This window comes from Homo sapiens, chromosome 7 (genome assembly GCF_000001405.40).
Source record: "Homo sapiens chromosome 7, GRCh38.p14 Primary Assembly".
Classification (NCBI taxonomy): domain Eukaryota; kingdom Metazoa; phylum Chordata; class Mammalia; order Primates; family Hominidae; genus Homo; species Homo sapiens.
The window spans coordinates 123,709,357-123,728,721 of record NC_000007.14 but is presented as its reverse complement, the minus strand read 5'-3'; the positions used below and the strand labels follow the sequence as shown (position 1 = coordinate 123,728,721).

The 19,365-nt window shown below is 36.1% G+C and overlaps 1 protein-coding gene across 1 annotated transcript in view; it reads left to right on the top strand.

Moving 5' to 3' along the window:
- The window catches only part of WASL (WASP like actin nucleation promoting factor), a 67,061-nt gene that overhangs the window by 20,282 nt on the left and 27,414 nt on the right, over window positions 1-19,365 (top strand). The gene's annotated exons all lie outside the window — the stretch shown is intronic.

The following is a 19,365-nucleotide window of genomic DNA, read 5'->3' as shown; positions in this document are numbered from 1 at the left end:
TGGGATTACAGGTGCTCACCACTACCATATTTTTTTGTATTTTTAGTAGAGATGGGGCTTCACTGTGTTGGACAGGCTGGTCTTGAACTCCTGACCTCGTGATCTGCCTGCCTCGGCCTCCCAAAGTGCTGGGATCACAGGTGTGAGCCGCTGCGCCCGGCTGACATTAATGTTTTATTGGACCTTGTTTCTTGTCAGTAGATATATACCATTATCAGTGGACACATTTATGGAATCAGCAATTTCCTAGAGATGGACAGTTGTTGGGTTGTTGTTTTCCCTTTCTACCTTTTTACTCCCTAATATAGCAGGCCACACACACATGCTCTTCATCTGTCTTCACCAGACTTGATCTATTCTTTTATGACAATTTCTAAGAAATAAGTTTGCTCAGTTTTAAATTTAATTTTTGCCTTGCCAAATTGCATTTTCCAATAATCTGTACCTTTTATAATGACAGTCTAGTGTTTTCTTTGTAGTTCTTGAAAGTGCCCAGTCCCCAGGTAATGTTAAACAAATGTGAGTTTTTTTATTTTTTTGTATTTCATTCTGTAAAATGCTCTGAATTTTAAAATGTGATCTTTCTGAATGCTGTCCATGCTTTTTGTAAGAGTCTTAGAGACATCTCACTTTGAAAATGAAAGTGGATGCCTGAGATGATGAATACAGCAGTATATTTTACAATTAAGCTTTCTTGTCTCCCTTGTAAAGTGAGGTACATTTCTTTTCAAATAAAGCAAGTAAGGTTACATTAATGTTTATTGTTTATAAGAGCTTTCTTTCCAATTTATCTAGCTACCATGAAATGAAGTGCGTCAAACATAAGAAGTCGTTAGTGTTTTTGGTGGTTTGCATTAACGCTTCATCTTAAGATTCTTTTTTTCACTTAAGAAATTACGGTATAATTTATGTATAATAAAATACACAGATCTTAAATATTAACTTTGATGAATTTTGACAAATGATACAGAGTATGACCATACCCCCAAAATAAAGTTTAGAATGTTTGTAATACCTCAAAAAGTTCCATTGGGAGTCTAACCAGTTGGTTCCTTTCTAATTCCTGCCTCTCTCCTATCTTCGTCCACCCTTTGCAATCACTTTCTGATTTCTGTCATGATGGCTTAGTTTTGTCTGTTTTGTCCTCTTCACTCAGTATATACGTTTTTGAGATTCATCTCTGTTATTGTACACATGTTCATTCTTTTTTTATTAGTCAACTGGTCAGTGTTTACCATGAATTTACCACAATTTGTTTGTCTGTTCTTCTGTTAATGGATATTTGAGTTTCCCGTTTTTGACTATTATGAATAAGGCTCCTGTGTTCTTGTATAAGTTTGTGTGTGTGTGTGTGTGTGTGTGTGTGTGACACATATTTTTATTTCTTTTGGGCAAATAGCTCAGGAATTACATTGTCACTGGAAAGATGTATGTTTATTTTTATAAGAAACTTTCAGATAGTTCTCCAAGTGGTTGTGCAATCTTTGCACTTCCACCAGCTATGTATGAGACTTCCCATTGCTCCACATCTCCAGTATTTTATGTGGTCAGTCCTTTTGTTTTTGGTCATTTTGGTGGATATGAAATGGCATCTCAGTGTGGCTTTTCATTATATTTCCTTGATGACTAATGGTATTCTTTCACCCTTTCAGTGCTTATTGGCCATTCATGTATCTTTGTTTTTTGTGTAGCACTTCAGGTCTTTTGCCCATAGATTTAGTGGGTTGATTGCTCTTTATTAATGATTTGTAGGGATGTTATATATATTCTGGACACAAGATTATTGTTAGAGATACGTACTTCAGATATTTTCTCCCAGTCTGTAGCTTGCCTAATTATTATTATTATTATTATTTGAGATGAAGTCTCACTCTGTCGCCCAGGCTGGAGTGCAGTGGTGCATTCTTGGCTCACTGCAACCTCTGCCTCATGGGTTCAAGTGATTCTCTTGCTTCAACCTCCTGAGCAGCTGGGATTACAGGTGCGTGCCAACACACTCAGCTAATTTATCTATTTTGATTAGAGATGAGAGTTTCACCATGTTGGCCAGGCTGGTCTTGAACTCCTGACCTCAAGTAATCCACCCGCCTTGGCCTCCCAAAGTACTGGGATTACAGGCAGCCACCACACCTGGCCCTAATTAATTTTTAATGATGTTTTTTGATGGGCAGGATTTTTTAGTTTTGGTGAGGCTAATGTATCTTTTTTTTTTCTTTAACCTTTTCTAGCACATGTATTTGTGGTTTGAGAAATCTTGGCCTATGCCAAGGGGTCACAGTCACAGTCTTCTGCTGCTTCTAGGAGCTTTGTGATTCTAACTTGAGGTTTATGATCCATCTCAAATTTTTTGTGTTATATAAAGTGCAAAAAAGGTCATATGAGATGATCATATGAATTTTTTCTTTACAGTTTCATTTTTTCCCTATGTAGTTAATTTGATACAGCACCATTTGGTAAAAAAGCCTTATCTTTTGTCATTGAATTGACTTGGAACCCTTTTTAATAATAATTGACCTTATATGTTTGGGTCTATTTCTGGAGTCTGACCTGTCCCATTCATTTGTTTTTCCATCCTTATATAATATATTATTGATATGATTGTAATTAGAATGATTTTTCACATTCATATGCATGAAGAATATTGATCTAAATACTGGTCTGTAACATTAACAGAGTTAATACTGGCTTTGCAAGACCTTTAAAAAATATGCTTTAGATCTCTAGGTAATATTTAACAGTGAACTTATGTTTGCTTAAAACACTGATCTGTTTATCTTCTTTTCTTGTGACCAAAATTAACTGTTAGGGATTCTTACAGACTTAGTGTTGAATAAAAATTTTTAGTTTAGGGAAGGAATTGAAATCCCACCTCCCCCTTCCAGAAGCCAGTGGGACATTTAATTTAAATGTTTTCTGCACTGAGACACATGGTTCACAGCATGGGGTCTGCAGTAAAGCAGATCTAAATTTATAACCCTGTTCTTTGAGTTTCTACCTCTGTGACAACGGGCAAGTTACTAAATCTAGCTCAATTTTAATTTCCTCATGTATGAACTTAGTTCCTTCTAGGATTGATATTAAATAAGAAAATACAAGTAAAGTTCTTAGCACTCTGCCTGATACAAGTATCAGTTCTAGACAGTTGTTATATTAATATTTTTATTTGGGATTCTAATGAGGAAAAAAACATATTTCAAGAAATTGTTTTTTTTTAAATATAACCTAATGTAAATTAAAATAGAAATAGGTTTCAGAGGCATAAATTCTGTGTAAAATTACATGTGTTTTAATTTTTATCTTTGCATACATAGCTTTACAGTTTTCAAATTATATCCCTCCTTTTTTAAAAAAAACAGATTATTAGCATCTTGAGTTTAAAAGTCTGTTCCGTATTTTCATAGCACAGTAGTGATGAGCATACTTAATATTTATTGAGTAATTTAATAGAACATTAAATTTACATACAGTTTGTGTACCACAATAATGTGTAAAAGATAGAACACCATCTGTTTTTAAGACCGTCTTGAAAACCACAAAATTGTTCAGTTAACCAAATGTACTGAAAATTATTTCGTGCTTCTATGCTCATCTGACTTACAGCCTTGTTGTACTTTGAAAATTAGTGGGAAAAGTACATTCTTTTTAAAAATGTACGTTGACTTTAGTATGCTGTTTTTTGCCTCAGAACTCTCACTACTTCCTTCTATTGGGGAAGCTTTGAGAATTAGTGGGAAAAGTACATTCTTTTTAAAAATGTATGTTGACTTTGGTATGCTTTTTTTTGCCCCCAAACTCTCACCACTTCCTTCTATTGGGGAAGCTGTTGTAGAAGCAAATTGTTGTGGCATTTAAAACAGTATGAAGGGGGATGCATTAACTGAGGTTTTTCACCATGTCATATAAATGTTTATGATTAGTTATGAAGTGCCAAGAAGAAAAGTGTCATCATTCTTCTAAAAATAATTTCAATACCACAGATTAGCAGTTTGTAATGTTCTGAAAAATTGTTTAAGACAATTTTGATAGCACAGCAGTAATCAATACGATTCTAAGAAAGGCACCCCTCTCAGTTCAATCCGGCAAATGAATAAATGCAAAACGCATATAAAATACTGTGTTGGAGGCTAAAGGTAATAACAGTTCAAGAGCATGTGGCCCTTGTCTTTAGAGGGTGAACAGTGTTTTGGTGAAGCAAACCCTACATGGGAACTTATAAGTCATTCAATAAGTGCTTTATTGGATGTATAAATGAAATATTATGAGAATACAGAAAGGGAGAAATATTTGCTTGAGGAAATTGAAAAAACTTGATCAAGTGTGACATTTGAACTCTACATATATGGAGTTTGAAAAGTTTTCAACATTATGTTTCAGCAGAGTGAACACTATAAGCTGAGAAGTATGATATGTTTGGGGGTCTGCAGATTAATTGGCTGCTATCTCTGATATATATTGGGTTCATAACAAGATAGTGTCAAAGTGTTGATTGCCCCAGACTAAGAAATAGCTTGAATTCTTGAAGAAGAGTTTGGACTTTATTTTTATCAAATAGGAACCTGTTACGTTTTCAAATATTGATCTGTGTCCTAAAAGATAACTGGCAAGCACTTACGAAAGAATAAAGTAGAGGCAGTGTCTCCTCTTGGGAAGGGGGAGCTATTACAATACTTCAGGCCAAAGCAAGGTATAAATTTGAGATCTCGCTTATATACTTGTATATAACAGCATATACATATAATGAAAAAGTGTGTCATTTCTCATTGAATTTCATTAAGATTTCAGAGATATGAGAATATACACAATCTTTTAGAAGTGTATTGTTAGCTAAGCTTCTTTTGTACAAATAAAATGAACTAATTCTGGCTGGCTCAACCAAAAAGGAATTTTTTGGCTACCAGAGGATCCCATGGAATCCAAAGCAGAATTGAACAAGGAAGTTTCAGGAACAGCAGGAAGCTGGGAAGCTCTGAGAAAAACAGCAGGAGTTATTGGAACTTTTCTGAACTCCAAGCCTCTCCTTCCTTACTAAACCCATCAGTCCTGGGTCCCAGTTTAGAATTCTAAATTCCTGGGAGAGAATCTTAATTTAATTGATTGAGCTTAGCACAAGTGCTTGTTCCTGGAGAGAGGCAATGAGTCTCTAACACTGGAAGTATTGGGGTTGGGGAATGGGTGGTACTGGCAAGGTAGGTTTGTCATATGTATACAAGCCAGCAAAAATCCTATTAAAATGTACTACATGATTATTAATTTGGTTTTTCACTGACCTAAACTTGCTTTAGATGCCATCGTTCAAAATATTTACTCTCTACTGTATTGAAGTGTTTTTTTAGTTACAGCTCCAATCTGAGATTTGCACATAGTAAAGGTGTGAATGTTATCTTTCTTATTTTTGGAAGCCTGGGCTTTTTTCAGATTCTCTTTAATTGACCAACATACTGAAAATAAAAGAAATATTAGTCTTTTCATTACTAGCTTCTGTTGGCTAGTAATAGAGCCTTAAAATGATCTGATTAGAAATGTTGCAATGATACATCTGATAATATCATAATTAGCATTTAATAATGCATACAATGCCAGTGTTCTAAGTACTTTATGTGTATTAACCCTATAATAAGGAACTTTACATGTATTAACTAAATAAAGTTAGTCCCATTTTATAGATGGGAAAACAGGGATAGGGTAGTTCAGTAATTGCTTAAAACCACATTGCTAATAAGTGGTGGAATCTATTCCCAGAGTCTGTGCTTTCAGTCATAACACTATTCTTCCCTGGGACATTCCTGATTCTTTGCCCTCACTTGTGTCCAGTTAGCATTCAGGGCTCCCTTCTTAGCCTTCCCAGAACATTTTTATTCTTGCTTTCATTTTGGTACTTATACTTTGTTATAATTATTATTATTTTTGTTGTTATTTTTTGAGACAGAGTCTCCCTCTGTCACCCAGGCTGGAGTGCAGTGGCGATCTTGGCTCACTGCAACCTCTGCCTCCCAGGTTCAAGCAATTCTCATACCTCTGGGATTGCAGTCACACACCACCACGCCTGGCTGATTTTTGTATTTTTAATAGAGGCGTGGGGTTTCGCCATGTTGGCCACGCTGGTGTTGAACTCCTGGCCTCAAGTGATCTACCTGCCTCAGCCTCCCAATGTGCTAGGATTACAGGCGTGAGCCACCATGGCCAGCCTACAATTATTTTTCTAAACATATCTCCTTTTTAGGTTATTAACATCTTGGAGACAGAGACCTTCTTTTAATCATCTAAGATGATTAAGATAATAAATAATTGTTAATTGAATTAATACCCTGTTCAGATTTAGTCTCTAGGTTAGCCAGACATTTTGTGAATAAATACGATTCTTTAAATTATTTTTATTAGGAACATTCCTTTGTGTAGTTATCCCAACTTTGACCTTCTGTTGACCTTATAAATTCCATATCTTGTTCTAATAAATTATTTGCATGAGATTATCCCTAGGACTTTCCAGAGCATTATTGTCCAATAGAACTTTTTATGATGCTGTCCAATATGGTAGACATCTGTGATTATTGCGCACTTGAAATGTAGCAGGTGTGACTTTGAGAGACAACATTTTTAACATATTTGAATAGCCATTGTGGCTAGTGGTGACCTTATTAAACAGTACAGCTCCAGAGAGCAAAAGCAAGATGAGTCCAGAAACTAACAGTACCCTCCCGCCTGCCCCTGCCCCCACCCCCAAAGCCACCCAGCTTTGGAGCTTACCTAGAGAGGACAGTAACAGTGTAAAAGATCTGTGTGGACTCAAAGTGAAATCATTCCCAATTAATTTATACATTCTAAAAAATAGAGAACATTTATTAAATCTCAATCGCAGCTCACTGCAGCCTCTGTCTCCTGGGTTCAAGCATTTCTCTTGCCTCAGCCTCCTGAGTAGCTGGGACTGGGACTACAGGCGCCCGCCACCACGCCTGACCAAATTTTGTGTTTTTAGTAGCGACAGGGTTTCATCATGTTGGACATGCTGGTCCTCAGGTGATCCACTCTCCTTGGCCTCCCAAAGTGCTGAAATTACAGATGTGAGCCACCACACCCAGCCTTAAGTCTCTTAAATTGTGAATAAAATGTAAATCTTAAAAACAAAACTTGAGAAAGGTTCTTGGATTCTTTGGTGGGGTTTTTTGTTGTTGTTGTTCGTTTGTTTGTTTTTTGGGGTGGATGCTATCTAGCTCTTGTGTGTAATGTACATGAGAGTCTCAAATGTTGTACTTTAAGTCCTTAGGTTGTATGTTGAATTTAAACTGTTACTTGTTACAAAGCCCTTACCTTTACCTTATGCCTTCAAAAGCTCATATTTAAATAAAATGGCTCTCAAAGTAACCTACCTTTTGCACGTTTTTTGCCCACCTTGATTGTACATGTCAGTCAAGCAAACTAAAAGTGCTTATTTATATAAAGTATATGTACATCCCTGTGACTGTCCTTAAATGCTTATTAGATCATTGAATTGCTGAATATAGAATAACAAATATGGAAGACAAAAAATTTTAATTTGCTTATTTTTATTAATCATGTTTAAGAGTTTGAAAGACTGCAAGAGTAAGTTTGTAAAAGAAATCAAAGACTTTGTTGTTCATTATAGACTGGCTATCTCCCTATAGTAGCCAGAGTTTGCTTTTTATTAGTTTAAGCCCCTAGGCACTGTAGTATGTTATTCAGCAATGTTTATTTTTAATTTTTTAGGGGGAAGCTAAAGAGCTACTCAAAATTCTTGCTAGGTTACTGTTTCTAGGTCAGAAAGGTTATTTTTGTTTGTTTGTTTCAGACTTGCACCATAATGTGATTTGAGTAGGTCTTTTTTTTTTAACGTGTATATATTTTAAATCAATTTTTAATTTTTGGAAAGCCAATACATCCACATGGTTTAAAAATCCCACAGTGTGCAGGCACCTGTAGTCCCAGCTACCAGGAGGCTGAGGCAGGAGAATGGCATGAACCCAGGAGGCGGAGCTTGCAGTGAGCCAAGATTGTGCCACTGTACTCCAGCCTGGGCGAGAGAATGAGACTCCATCTCAAAAAAAAAAAAAAAAAATCCCACAGTGTGAAAAGAAAGTGATGTTTCTCATTTATCCAGTCCTTCATTTGCCTAGTCATTTCTTCTCCAACAAAATACCTGTCCACACACAGAACCTTTAAACAACTGTTACTAGTTTTGTCTGTTCTTCAGAAGGTTCTGTGCATACATAGGCAAATGTAAGTTATTTATTCTTGTTTGTGGTATTGTGTACAGACGTTAGTATATGCTACCCTTACTTTTACATCTTGCCTTTTATTCAGATAACAGTGTATCTTGTTCATCTTATCATTACTTGAATAACAACTTTTTTTTTTTTTTTTTGCAGCTGTATGGTATCCTATTTGTATAGCTGAACTGTGCTTTATTTAATGAGTGTGTATTTTTCTTGATGACCAAAATATTCGAGTAATTTTGGATAATTTTAAGATTCTGAAGATTTGAATTAATGATTTAAATAATGGTTTTGATAGAAGTCATTGTAAAGTGTGTTACCCCTTTACCCTGGTTTAGTTAAATAGATCAAACACGTTACTGAACTGATTTTAATTCTTATATGATAAACTGGTTGTTGGGAAACAGGTTTGGGGGTAACCATATATTTTGTGCTAGGTGAGTATAGAAATAAGACAGGGCCCTATCTTCAAGGAGTTGACAGTCTGCTGAGAAGACCTAAGTGAACAGATTATAATACAGTAACTGGTATAATGAAGGTTCCTAGGCACTATGGGAACTCAATGGATAGGCCTTTGTCACAGACTGAGGGAAAGGTGGGTTGGGAGGTTCCTGTCACAGGTGAGCAGTGACTAGTGACTATCTGGCTGGTGGCTTGGGTGGTAAAAAGAATTTACCAAGACAGTTGTAACTACAGAAAGGCAGATTTCTTAGAGACAGTATGAAAATATGTTGCAAGGGTGCAACAGACAGGTCAGCAAGAGAGGAGCTGACTGCCAGGATACAAAGGCTTGCTGGAGATTTTATAGAATGGTGCTTGTGCTCTGTACTGAAGAGGGCTTTGTGCCATACTGATAACAAGGTTGCAGTGAGCTAACTTGAATTTTTCTGTCAGCCAAGGGTCTGCTGATAGCTGAGCTCAGGAAGATCATGAGTTATTTGCACAGAAGGGCTATGTGTCCTGGACCATGAAGAAAGGCAGACTTACAGCTTACTGCTTTCTCTTTTTGCTTTCCTTGGGTCATCTCGCCAGCCTGACTTCCCTCCCAGATTAGGACTTCACAGTTCCCATAGGCAACATCATAGCTGAAGTTTGAACAGTGACCAAGTGAAAGGAGAGTCAGAGAGGGTACTTCACTTTTGGGAGCATGGATTTCGACATAAAGGATCAGGATATGAGAGAGGTTAATGACTTCTAAGACAGTCCCATGTGACTTCAGCATATCATGTGGTAGATGACAATGAGGCTGCACATTTCTTTTTATGATCAGAAACATTATTTTCCCAATATTTTGCACTGCTGATCAGAACACATGTAAAATATTGACTTCATTTTAACAAGGGTGACCAGACTAATAAAGGGATTCATAAACCAGGTCAGATGAGGAATGATCAAAATAAATTTTACCTTAAAAAGAGATGATGTGACAAGTAGAGTTTTAGTGGAACATCGCTGTGGAAGCGAAAATGTTGCTGCCACTACACAGAAGTAAGTATGCTGTAACTGGAGGATGTGGTATATACCTTCGGTTTTGCATTATTATAGCTATAGTACCTGGCATTATGCCTGCCACATAACAAATGCTCAACAGATACTTGAATGAAAGAATAAAAAATACAAAACGTGTGGGTGGCAATTGCCAGGAAAACAGGTTTAGATTAACTATTTAAAATTTTCTAACAGTAAGATATTCTTACTGCTTAAACAGTAAAATAGTTTTTCCTTCAGGTTGTGAGCACCCCATTACAGCAAGCATTTAAGCAAATGCTATGTAATCATCTGTTAAAAATATTATATGGGGCTGGGCATGGTGGTTCATGCCTGTAATCCCAGCACTTTGGGAGACCAAGGCAGGAGGATCACTTGAGGCTAGGAGTTGGAGACCAGCCTAGACCACATAGTGAGACCCTTTCTCTTAAAAAAAAATGTTATATGAAGGATTCTTAAAACATTGAATATAGAAGACTCTCCTCCTTCCAGATACACTCATTGTCATTACCCACCTATCTTAGTGTTTTTGTGTTTTTTTGAAGTTGCTTGGCTTTAGTTTTCTTAAATGGATAAGATCACTATATGTTCAAAAGTTGTTTCGTTAAGTGTGGTTTGGCAAAATGAATATATTCGCTTAGATAGTTGTTTGTTTTCTTCATATACAAAATTCTATTGTTCTGATTGATGCATCATTTTCTCACCCCAAGCAAGGCTAATCCAGGTTTTGTGGCCTGAAGCTTATAATTGGGAGCGGCTCTCATTAAGAAAAACAATCCAAAATTAAGTCTAAAAGTGAATGTTTATTTGGTGTGAGAAAAGATCACAACAAATAAAAAATGCCATAAACTTCACAAAATTTAGACAAGTAGCTTATTGCTATTATAACTTGCTGTGTTTATTATTAATTAACAGTCCAATATATTATACCTATTTGGTACTTTTTTTCTACCTATTGTGGCCATGTATTCATTCATCACTTCTTTACATGACAGTTTTATATTTTATATAGGAAGAGTCTTTTCCTCTTGCATAAGACTTGACAGAGTACCAACCATGGACCAAATTCAGCCTGCTTGTTTTTATAAATAAAGTTTTTTGCAGCGCAGGCATATCCATATAATCTATGGCTGCTTTTGTGTGCAACAATGGATGAGTTGAAAGAGATCATGAGTTGGAAGCGTAAAGTATTAAATATCTGGCTTTTTACAGAAAAAGACTCCTGTTCTAACATATTTGCTCAAAATTTATTTACTATCGATAGCTGTGAAGCTGAAAAAAAAAGTTTTGAAACCAGTTACTAGTAATGTAATAGCACATCTGTAATTTCCTTCACTTTGCATAAAACATGTTTCTTGCCTGGGGAGAACTTTACATCTCATTTGTTTGGACCACTGTCCCTGACCCCTGAAGTGTCCATGTAGTTGGATCATAGTATGTCACACCCAGCAGGAGCTGGGCAACACTCATGCAAATCCTTGGGTTAAAGATTGAGTCCGGATGCATCATGTGGTCCAAGAGGGACAGGAAATTACTGCTAGGAGCTAGGCGGATACAGAGATAGTGCATTCTTGATGGAAGTACCACGATCATCTTCAGGGACAGCTAAAGAGGAGCCCCTAGGCATGAGGCTACAGTTGCTGCTGGTCCTGTGTCCCAAAGGAGAATAATCAAAGCCTTGTAAGGGACTCTACGAAGTAAAAGATCCTGAAACTTAAACCTAATTAGCTTCATGGTAAGTTCACCTCTTTTCCCCAGGACAAACAACTTAATGTCTGTTTGGAGTTTTTCCCTTCATAAACATGTTTTTTTTTCTCATGCACCAGCAATCCTTTACTTTCTACAACCACTACCACAAACTCTCCCTCCCTGCCATTTTCCCTGCCCCAAAATTAAGGTAAAAAACAAACCAAAAGGGGGCGTTAGAGAAATAAAACTATATTAAGGATATATCCTTCTTGGAGGATCATTTAGCTGGCATAGGGCAAAAATATGACAAATTAGGATTGGGATGAATCACTGATTATGTAGTGTATGTTGAGTATAGAATTAGCAGCTGATTGGGAAATTCATCCAAAGCTGTATAATATGTGACCTCTGGCAAATAAATTGAGCTCACCTATAAAATGAGGGGATTGTATTATATGCTTGATAAAATATATGGTGAAGTGGTATTAAGTGCTATTTGGCTCTAGCATTCAGGAATACCCACATCCCACCAGCAACTGCAGTAACTACTTTTCACCCTCTCATCCCAAACTGTTCCCACAGAAGAGTAGTAGCAAAGTTAAAAAACAAAAATCTCTCTTTCTCTCCCCCTTCCTTCCTGCCTCCCTCTTTCTCTCTCCCTCTCTCTTTACCTCTCTCTCCCTCCATCCTGCAGTTGCACTCTCCCTCCCTCTCTTTTTTTTCCCCTTGTTATCAGGACTTGGGGCTCCACTAGTAATGTTAAACTTTGGGCCGGGCACAGTGGCTCACGCCTGTAATCCCAGCACTTTGGGAGGGTGAGGCAAGCAGATCGCCTGAGTTCAAGCAATCGTCAAGCAGATTCAAGCAGATCGTCAGGAGTTCAAGACCAGCCTGGCCAACATGCTGAAACCCCATCTCTACAAAAATACAAAAATTAGCTGGGCATGATGGTGGGTTTCTGTAATCCCAGCTTCTTGGGAGGCTGAGGTGGGAGAATTGCTTGAACCTGGGAGGCGGAGGTTACAGTTAGCCAAGATCGTGCCATTGCACTCCTCCACCCTGGGTGAGAGAGCGAGCCTCCATCTAAATAAATAAATAAAAATAAAAATAAACTGATTGGTGAGCTGGGACTCCTAGGGTACCCCCTTTCCAACTTTATTCCCTGAAAATCCAGACCCAAATTTCAGGTTTTACCATAATCCAACTGAATTTGCAAGAAACAGAAGGAAAAGGAGACAGAAGAGAGAGGAAAAACTCCTTTTAAGTAGATCCACTTAAGTTACAGGGTAGGGCAGAAGAGAACCAGCCGCACCTATGAGCTGCCCTTTTAACACAGTGTCCTCACCCATTTGCAAATATAACCCAGTCTATAATGAGATCAGTATTCCTCTCACCTTTATCTGTATATGATTATCCTTCTGGTAGTAGAAAGTTGAGAATACAGTAAGACTTGCCATTTTTAGTTTTAACATCTAATTTTGATTGTTTACTGGTAATGCTAAAGGTCTGTGCCACATAATACTTTGCAGTTTTCTAGATGTATGAATTTAAATCATAGGCAGTATATAAGATTGGTGTGTGGTTGTGAATGACCTAAGCCTGCTGTGTAGCACACACCTTTCCATATGGCTTTTGTATATAATAAAGTGATTTTTTAAATGGTTCCAAACAGGAATGTGCACTGATAATGAAGGTGAGGTCTAAAACTTTTATGATTTGTAACCAAAAATTTGTCATAACTATACTGCTAGAAATGGAATAGAGGAAGACGTGGAGCCATTTCTTATAGGTTATGTCTTTTAGTATATTAAAACAATCCCCTACATCTGTTATCTGTTGTTGCAAACAAACCACCTAATGACTTTGTGACTTATAGCAGTATCAACAAATTTCTCATTCTGTAGATTGAGTGATTGGTCTGCTGGTGACTAATCTCACCAGAATGTAGGGACTGGGCTCAGAAAGGACAGTTGAAATGGACTAGGGCCTTGCTCTCTATGTGGTCTTTGATTCCAGGTTTTAGGGCAGCACTTCCAAAAGGGCAAGCTACAAGGTGCAAGTATTCCCGCTTCTCCTTCCATTTACCAGTGTCTTCTTCATCAAAACAAGTCACATAGACAAATCCAGCATAAGTGGAGGAAGATAATATATAAGAACTTGAATCAAGGGCCATTACAGGAATGATGTGCTACTGTACCAAATCTCCAGTCAAGGTTTCCAAACTGTATGTGGCTGTTTATCTCTTTAAATCACTGAATTGAGCTGTGTTTTGTATTACTTTAACATTAAATCTGTGTCTTCAATCCATGCCACTCTTCTCTTTCTTATTTCCTACTCCACACAGTTCACCAAACTTTCCTATGGTAGGGTCTTTTTGATGAGTCTACTTAGAATGCCATTTCCTCCATACTTACTCCTCACCAGCGCTTTGTTCACTTGACTCACCCTTTTTCATTCTTCAGGTAAGATGTCACCTCAGGGAAGCCTTCCTACACTAGTTAGGTTTTACATTTTTCTTGCATACTAATTTTTCCTAGTAGCATTTTAATAGTTATTAATGCCAATCTCCCCTTTATTAACTAGATGTTTTATGAGGACCTTGTCTAATTCATTTTTGTATTTGCCCTCATTTTCATTCTTGTCCTCACCCCCAGTTATCCCAGTCCCTTGTACATAGTAGGTTCTTCATAAACATTTGGTGAACAAATATGTCTGGCAGAGAAATTTTCTTAAAAAGCAGCTAAGATCTAAAAGACTCTCTGTGTTTGGTCCCTAAGATAGCAGCTGTTTCTATCTGGCTCCGTTTTTCTTCACTGTTGAGATTCTGTTTGTTATTTTATGCTTTTGTGGTTTTCCTCCTTCATTCCTCCAGGTTTGCTTTTTTAGAAATTTATTTCTTGTGGAGTCTTTTGTCATTGCCATATTCTTTTTAAAACGTGTACTGTTTTTGTTTGTTTTCTCTTTTCTTTTCTGGTTATTTCTCATTGTAGAAATTACCAGGTGATAAGATCCCTTGTCTCCAAAGTGAATTTTTGTGTTTTCTTTTCCTGGATAGTTCTTACTGATACTCACCACTCTCAGGAGTTGTTGTTCCCTGCCAGATACATTGTTTTTCTTTTTTAAATTTATGATTTCTGTATTGGGTTTTGAGGTGGGCAGGTAACAGGTGTTGCTACTTTAATTATTTAGAACATTGTTTCATGAGATCACTACATAATAAACTGTAGGAATTCAACCAAATTCTTTGCATTTCTTTACTTTTATACTACTTTTTATAATGTATAGATTAAAATTTTACAGTCATCTCTTAGTATCCATGGGGGATTGGTTCTAGGGCCACCCACAGATACCAAAGTTCACACATACTGAGGTCCTTTAGAACCCACCCATGTGAAAAGTCTGCCCTCCTGTTTTGTGGGTATCTCATCCTGCTAATAACTGTATTTTTCAATCCACGTTTGGTTGCGGATGCAGAACCCTGCGATATGGAGTCCTGACTGTATTTAGTGAAGAAGATCTGCATGTAAGTGGACCCACACAGTTCAAACCCATATTGTTCAAGGGCCAACTGTATATTCAGAGTAATAATAGGTCATTTCATGTAAATATATCATCAGAGCATCTAGGAATGTATTTAAATCTTAGCTTTTATATAATGAGAACACTTAGAATGGATTTTCTCATGTTAGTTTTCAGACATTTGAGGCCAAATGCAACATTCAGATACATGCGTACATATAAAAGTTGGAGTATTTGACTGTTAATCTAGGCCAACATGATCATAGAAAAGACTTTATTTTGTTAAGTCATATGATTTCCCCCCACATTTAGTGTATTTTGGATATTTATTGAAAATATATATTTGGCCAGGCACAGTGGCTCGCATCTGTAATCCCTACACTTTAGGAGGCCAAGGTAGGAGGATCACTTGAGGTCAGGAGTTTGAGACCAGCCTGCGTAACATAGTTAGACTGCATCTCTACAAAAAATTAGAAAATTAGCCCGTCATAGTGGTGTGTGCTGGTAGTCCCAGCTACTCAGAAGGCTGAGTGAGGTAGGAGGATCACTTGAACCTAGGGGCTTGATGCTGTGGTGAGCGATCTCACTCACCATTGCACTCCTGCCTGGGTGACAGAGCAAGACCTTGTCTCAAAAATAAAAAGAGAAAATATGTTTAAATATTTTCTTTAACATTGTATATTTGTTAGATTAAAATAATTTTAGTTATTATTAAATATTCAGTTATTCAGTATTAAATCATTTTAGTATTTGTTGTAGGCAGTTGATGGCTAAAAACAAGGATCCCTGTGACTCCTAGTATTTTCTAGTCTTTTTGTGGTCTAGCTGTTTCTGTAGTCAAAGAAATACCTATTTTCCTGATCTAAAATTCTTATTCTGACCTGTTACATAATGTGGTTGTTCTGAAAATGTGAAAGGAATTTAAACAGTAGAAGTGCTGAATGTTTGTGGTTTAAGTCTTATGCAGGATAGAACTTTTAAGAAAGTTGGTACACATATAGAGGGAATAGGAGGAAGTGGGAGTTTTCTTAGTTTTGGGCCATTGCAGCAGTGGCTAACATATATAGAGGTAGTAATGGCTCTGGGGAGAGGACCACCTTCTCAAGATTGCTGTGGTTGTGAAAGAGAGCTAAGGGTCATACATTTTAATGAATCATTCGTGCTTGTTAAAGTTAGAAATAATTTCATACTTAAAGATACAGTACAAAGAACTTCTATATATCCTTCATCCAGATTTGCCAAATGTTTATTACATTTACCATGTTTTTTTCTCTATATATATGTATACATGCATGTTATTTTTTTCTGAATAACATGAGAATAAGTTGCAGACATAATGCCTCTTTATAATATTTCAGGCTATATATCCTAAAATCAGAGTCATTCTGTTATTATTGTAGTATCATTATCAAAATCAGAACATGTAGTTTTTAACAAATACTTGTTCACTTGGGGACAAAGTATAGGTGGAGTGAAAGTACAAGCTTGCAGAACTACTTTAAGTGCTTATGGGAATTGCAGTCTTTTTAGTGGTTAGGAAATCAATACAGAAAATTATTCTGATTTAGAGTAAGACCAGTGGAATAACAGAGTAACACAAGGTACACAAACAAGCACTTCAGAAATGTGAAAAAAAAACCAAACAAACCAAAAAACTCCAATAAAAGTCATTTCAACCTAAGGAATCAGAGAAATACTTCTCAACTGGTGCAGAGTCAACCTCAAAGAGGTGGAAGTCCCAGGCAGAAGGACAGTGGGAGGGAATTCACTTCCTAGAATACATCCCCCATATTCTTCCTGCCCTTGATCATCATAGTTCTGAGAATGAATATGTCATTACAGTTACTCAGTACTGAAGTATCAGGAATACACAAGATATGACAGGTTCTGTTTCTACCAAAGTTGATACAGTACTTTTTTTCCTTTTAATTACCAGATTTTAACCTTAACATTATTAGGGTAATAAGAAATAGATTTCCCTTCCTAAGCACTTGTTCTTAGGTTGTTTTTCATTAATATCTTCTTAATTACGAAAGACAAGAAGGAATGGAATTGATTTGTTGTAATTACTTAAAGGAATGGAAGGAATGTCTGTAAAAACTTAATTAAGTCACTGTCAATCTAGAGTGTGGGGATTAGTGACTGTTTTTATATTGTCTAGCATTAATATACTGTATTAAATGTATAGCAGTTATTCTCATATTCACTGTAATTATTCTGAATTAGAAAAGGCTTTACAAGGTGCTGTGGTATGTCATTTTCAGACTGCCAGATGAAGGTAAGAATTAATGAAATAGACACTTAGACTGATAATAAGAGTGTAGCAAATTTTTTGAAAATCCAGTTACTGAAAATTGCTTTTGAATAGTTGTTTTTTTAGTTTTAATGTTTATAATGCAGTATCCTGTCTGTGAAAAATTATAGCATTGTTAGTCTTTATTTCTTAAGCAAGTGTTTTAAGAATTTAAGTTTATCTAAAGGTTAAAATGTTTTTTAGTTTGGGTTTTTTTTTGTTTTGTTTTGTTTTTTAAAGTTCACATATATAGCCACATGATGTTTTACAACGTGAATATTTATAACATCATGAATATTTAGTCCTTTGGCTAGCAAGGGGATTTTCATAATGGGATTTCAGACCCTATTGAATAACTTTTTTGTGTGTGTGTGTGAGCTGTTACTTCTTGATTTCTGGTAAAAAGCGAAGTAGGGAGATTTTTAGATCTTCATTTTGGTACATCTAGTTTCCTAATTGCTATCTTTTTAGAAATGAATGTATTTTGACAGCACCATACTAAAAAAGACTTTATGCGAATTCTCCTTAGAACTAACAAATTGCTTGTTTGATTTTTGCATTCTTCAGCCTGGTATTTGGTACCTTTAGATAGTGTATGCAAGACGCATTTTTCTGAAGTTTTCAGTGCTGGCAGCAGGATGCCTGTGGCACTATCATCCTGAGATTGTGCACTTGCAAACACAAGTGTGTTTTGAGCAGGCCAAAAAGTGTCCCACATTCTTCAGTCTCCTCTTTGAAACCCAGTGTCCCAGGATACACATTTTTTGTTTTTAAGTTATCATAATTTTTATTGACTCTTGCAGAAATTTTTCTGTTCCTTTGTGTCCTACTCAGTACTGTATGTGAAGTTCAAGGTTGAGTTTGGTCTGTAATGTTAAAAACATAACATTGAACATTGTTATCTGAGCAAGTCTTTATGGACTTTTGATCCTAACAGTATACTGATCTTACATTTCTGAATTTAGTATCTAATTATAAAAGATTTGTGCATATAATTGTTCTTTGAAATTCCTCTTACCAAAAAAGGGCACCCCTCAGGCATAGTTCAGTAAACCTAAAACAGCATATCTTCAAATCTTAATGTAGTCTATTTTTTATTACAGAGCCCAAATTCCGTTGAACTAAGGTACCATAATTACTTAATCAGCTCCTATTTTAGGTTATTTCAGTTCTTCCTCTTTAAAAAAATATATATTTATATGAAATATTTTATTTTTATATTTATATTAAAATATGAAGTATTATATTCTAAATGATTTTCTTAATTTCTAGTTTAGAAGTGAAATTACTTTATCAGAAAACATAATTATGGCTTTCAGAGGATTTGTAAGTGCTTTATCAGTGTAAGTGTGTATCACTTTCATAGAAACTTAAGGTTGAATAGTTACATTCTAGGTTATAAAGTAAACTTAATTTAGAATAAAATTAGTTTACACCTTTTCATGATATAGTCTTGAGGAAGGGGGCAACATGGTGTACTGGAAAATCCTAATGCCCTGAAGTGTCCATTGCATGTAACGAGTTAGCTTCCCTCCTATACATCTGAAAGGGTTCTATTTAGGGACTATCCTTGGTAAAATTGAGACAATAGTCACTCAAATCTTTTTCATATCCTCAGTATAGCATTAAAACTGCGTGGCCACTTGTGCAAATCACTTACAATCTTAAACTCACTTTAGAAAGGAGATACTATAATCTGCCTTCCAGGGTGGTAATACTGCTTTCAAGTTTGTCTCAATCCTTATCTAGATAAGTGCTTAACTGCTTTATACAAGTCAGCCATTACTAATGCTACTACTTCATTGCTTAAGTGTTCACTTTATTGGGAAACAGTGTAATAGGGGGAGTAAGAATGCTAGATTTGAAGTCACAAATTGCCTGGATTTGGAATTTCAGCTCTGCCATTTAGCTGTGTGGTATTGGGCAAATTAACCCCTTTAGTGTCGGGTTTCTCAAGTAAAAAATGAAGTTATCATAGTAATAACAAATGAGGCTATATTTAAAAGTGATTAACACATTTCCTAACACATTTTAAGCATCAATAAATGTTTTCAGTAATTATTGTTATGTGATTATTGTATTAGTTATTTATTACTACATAAGAAATTACTTCAGAAACTAGTGGCTTAAAATAACAATACATGTTTA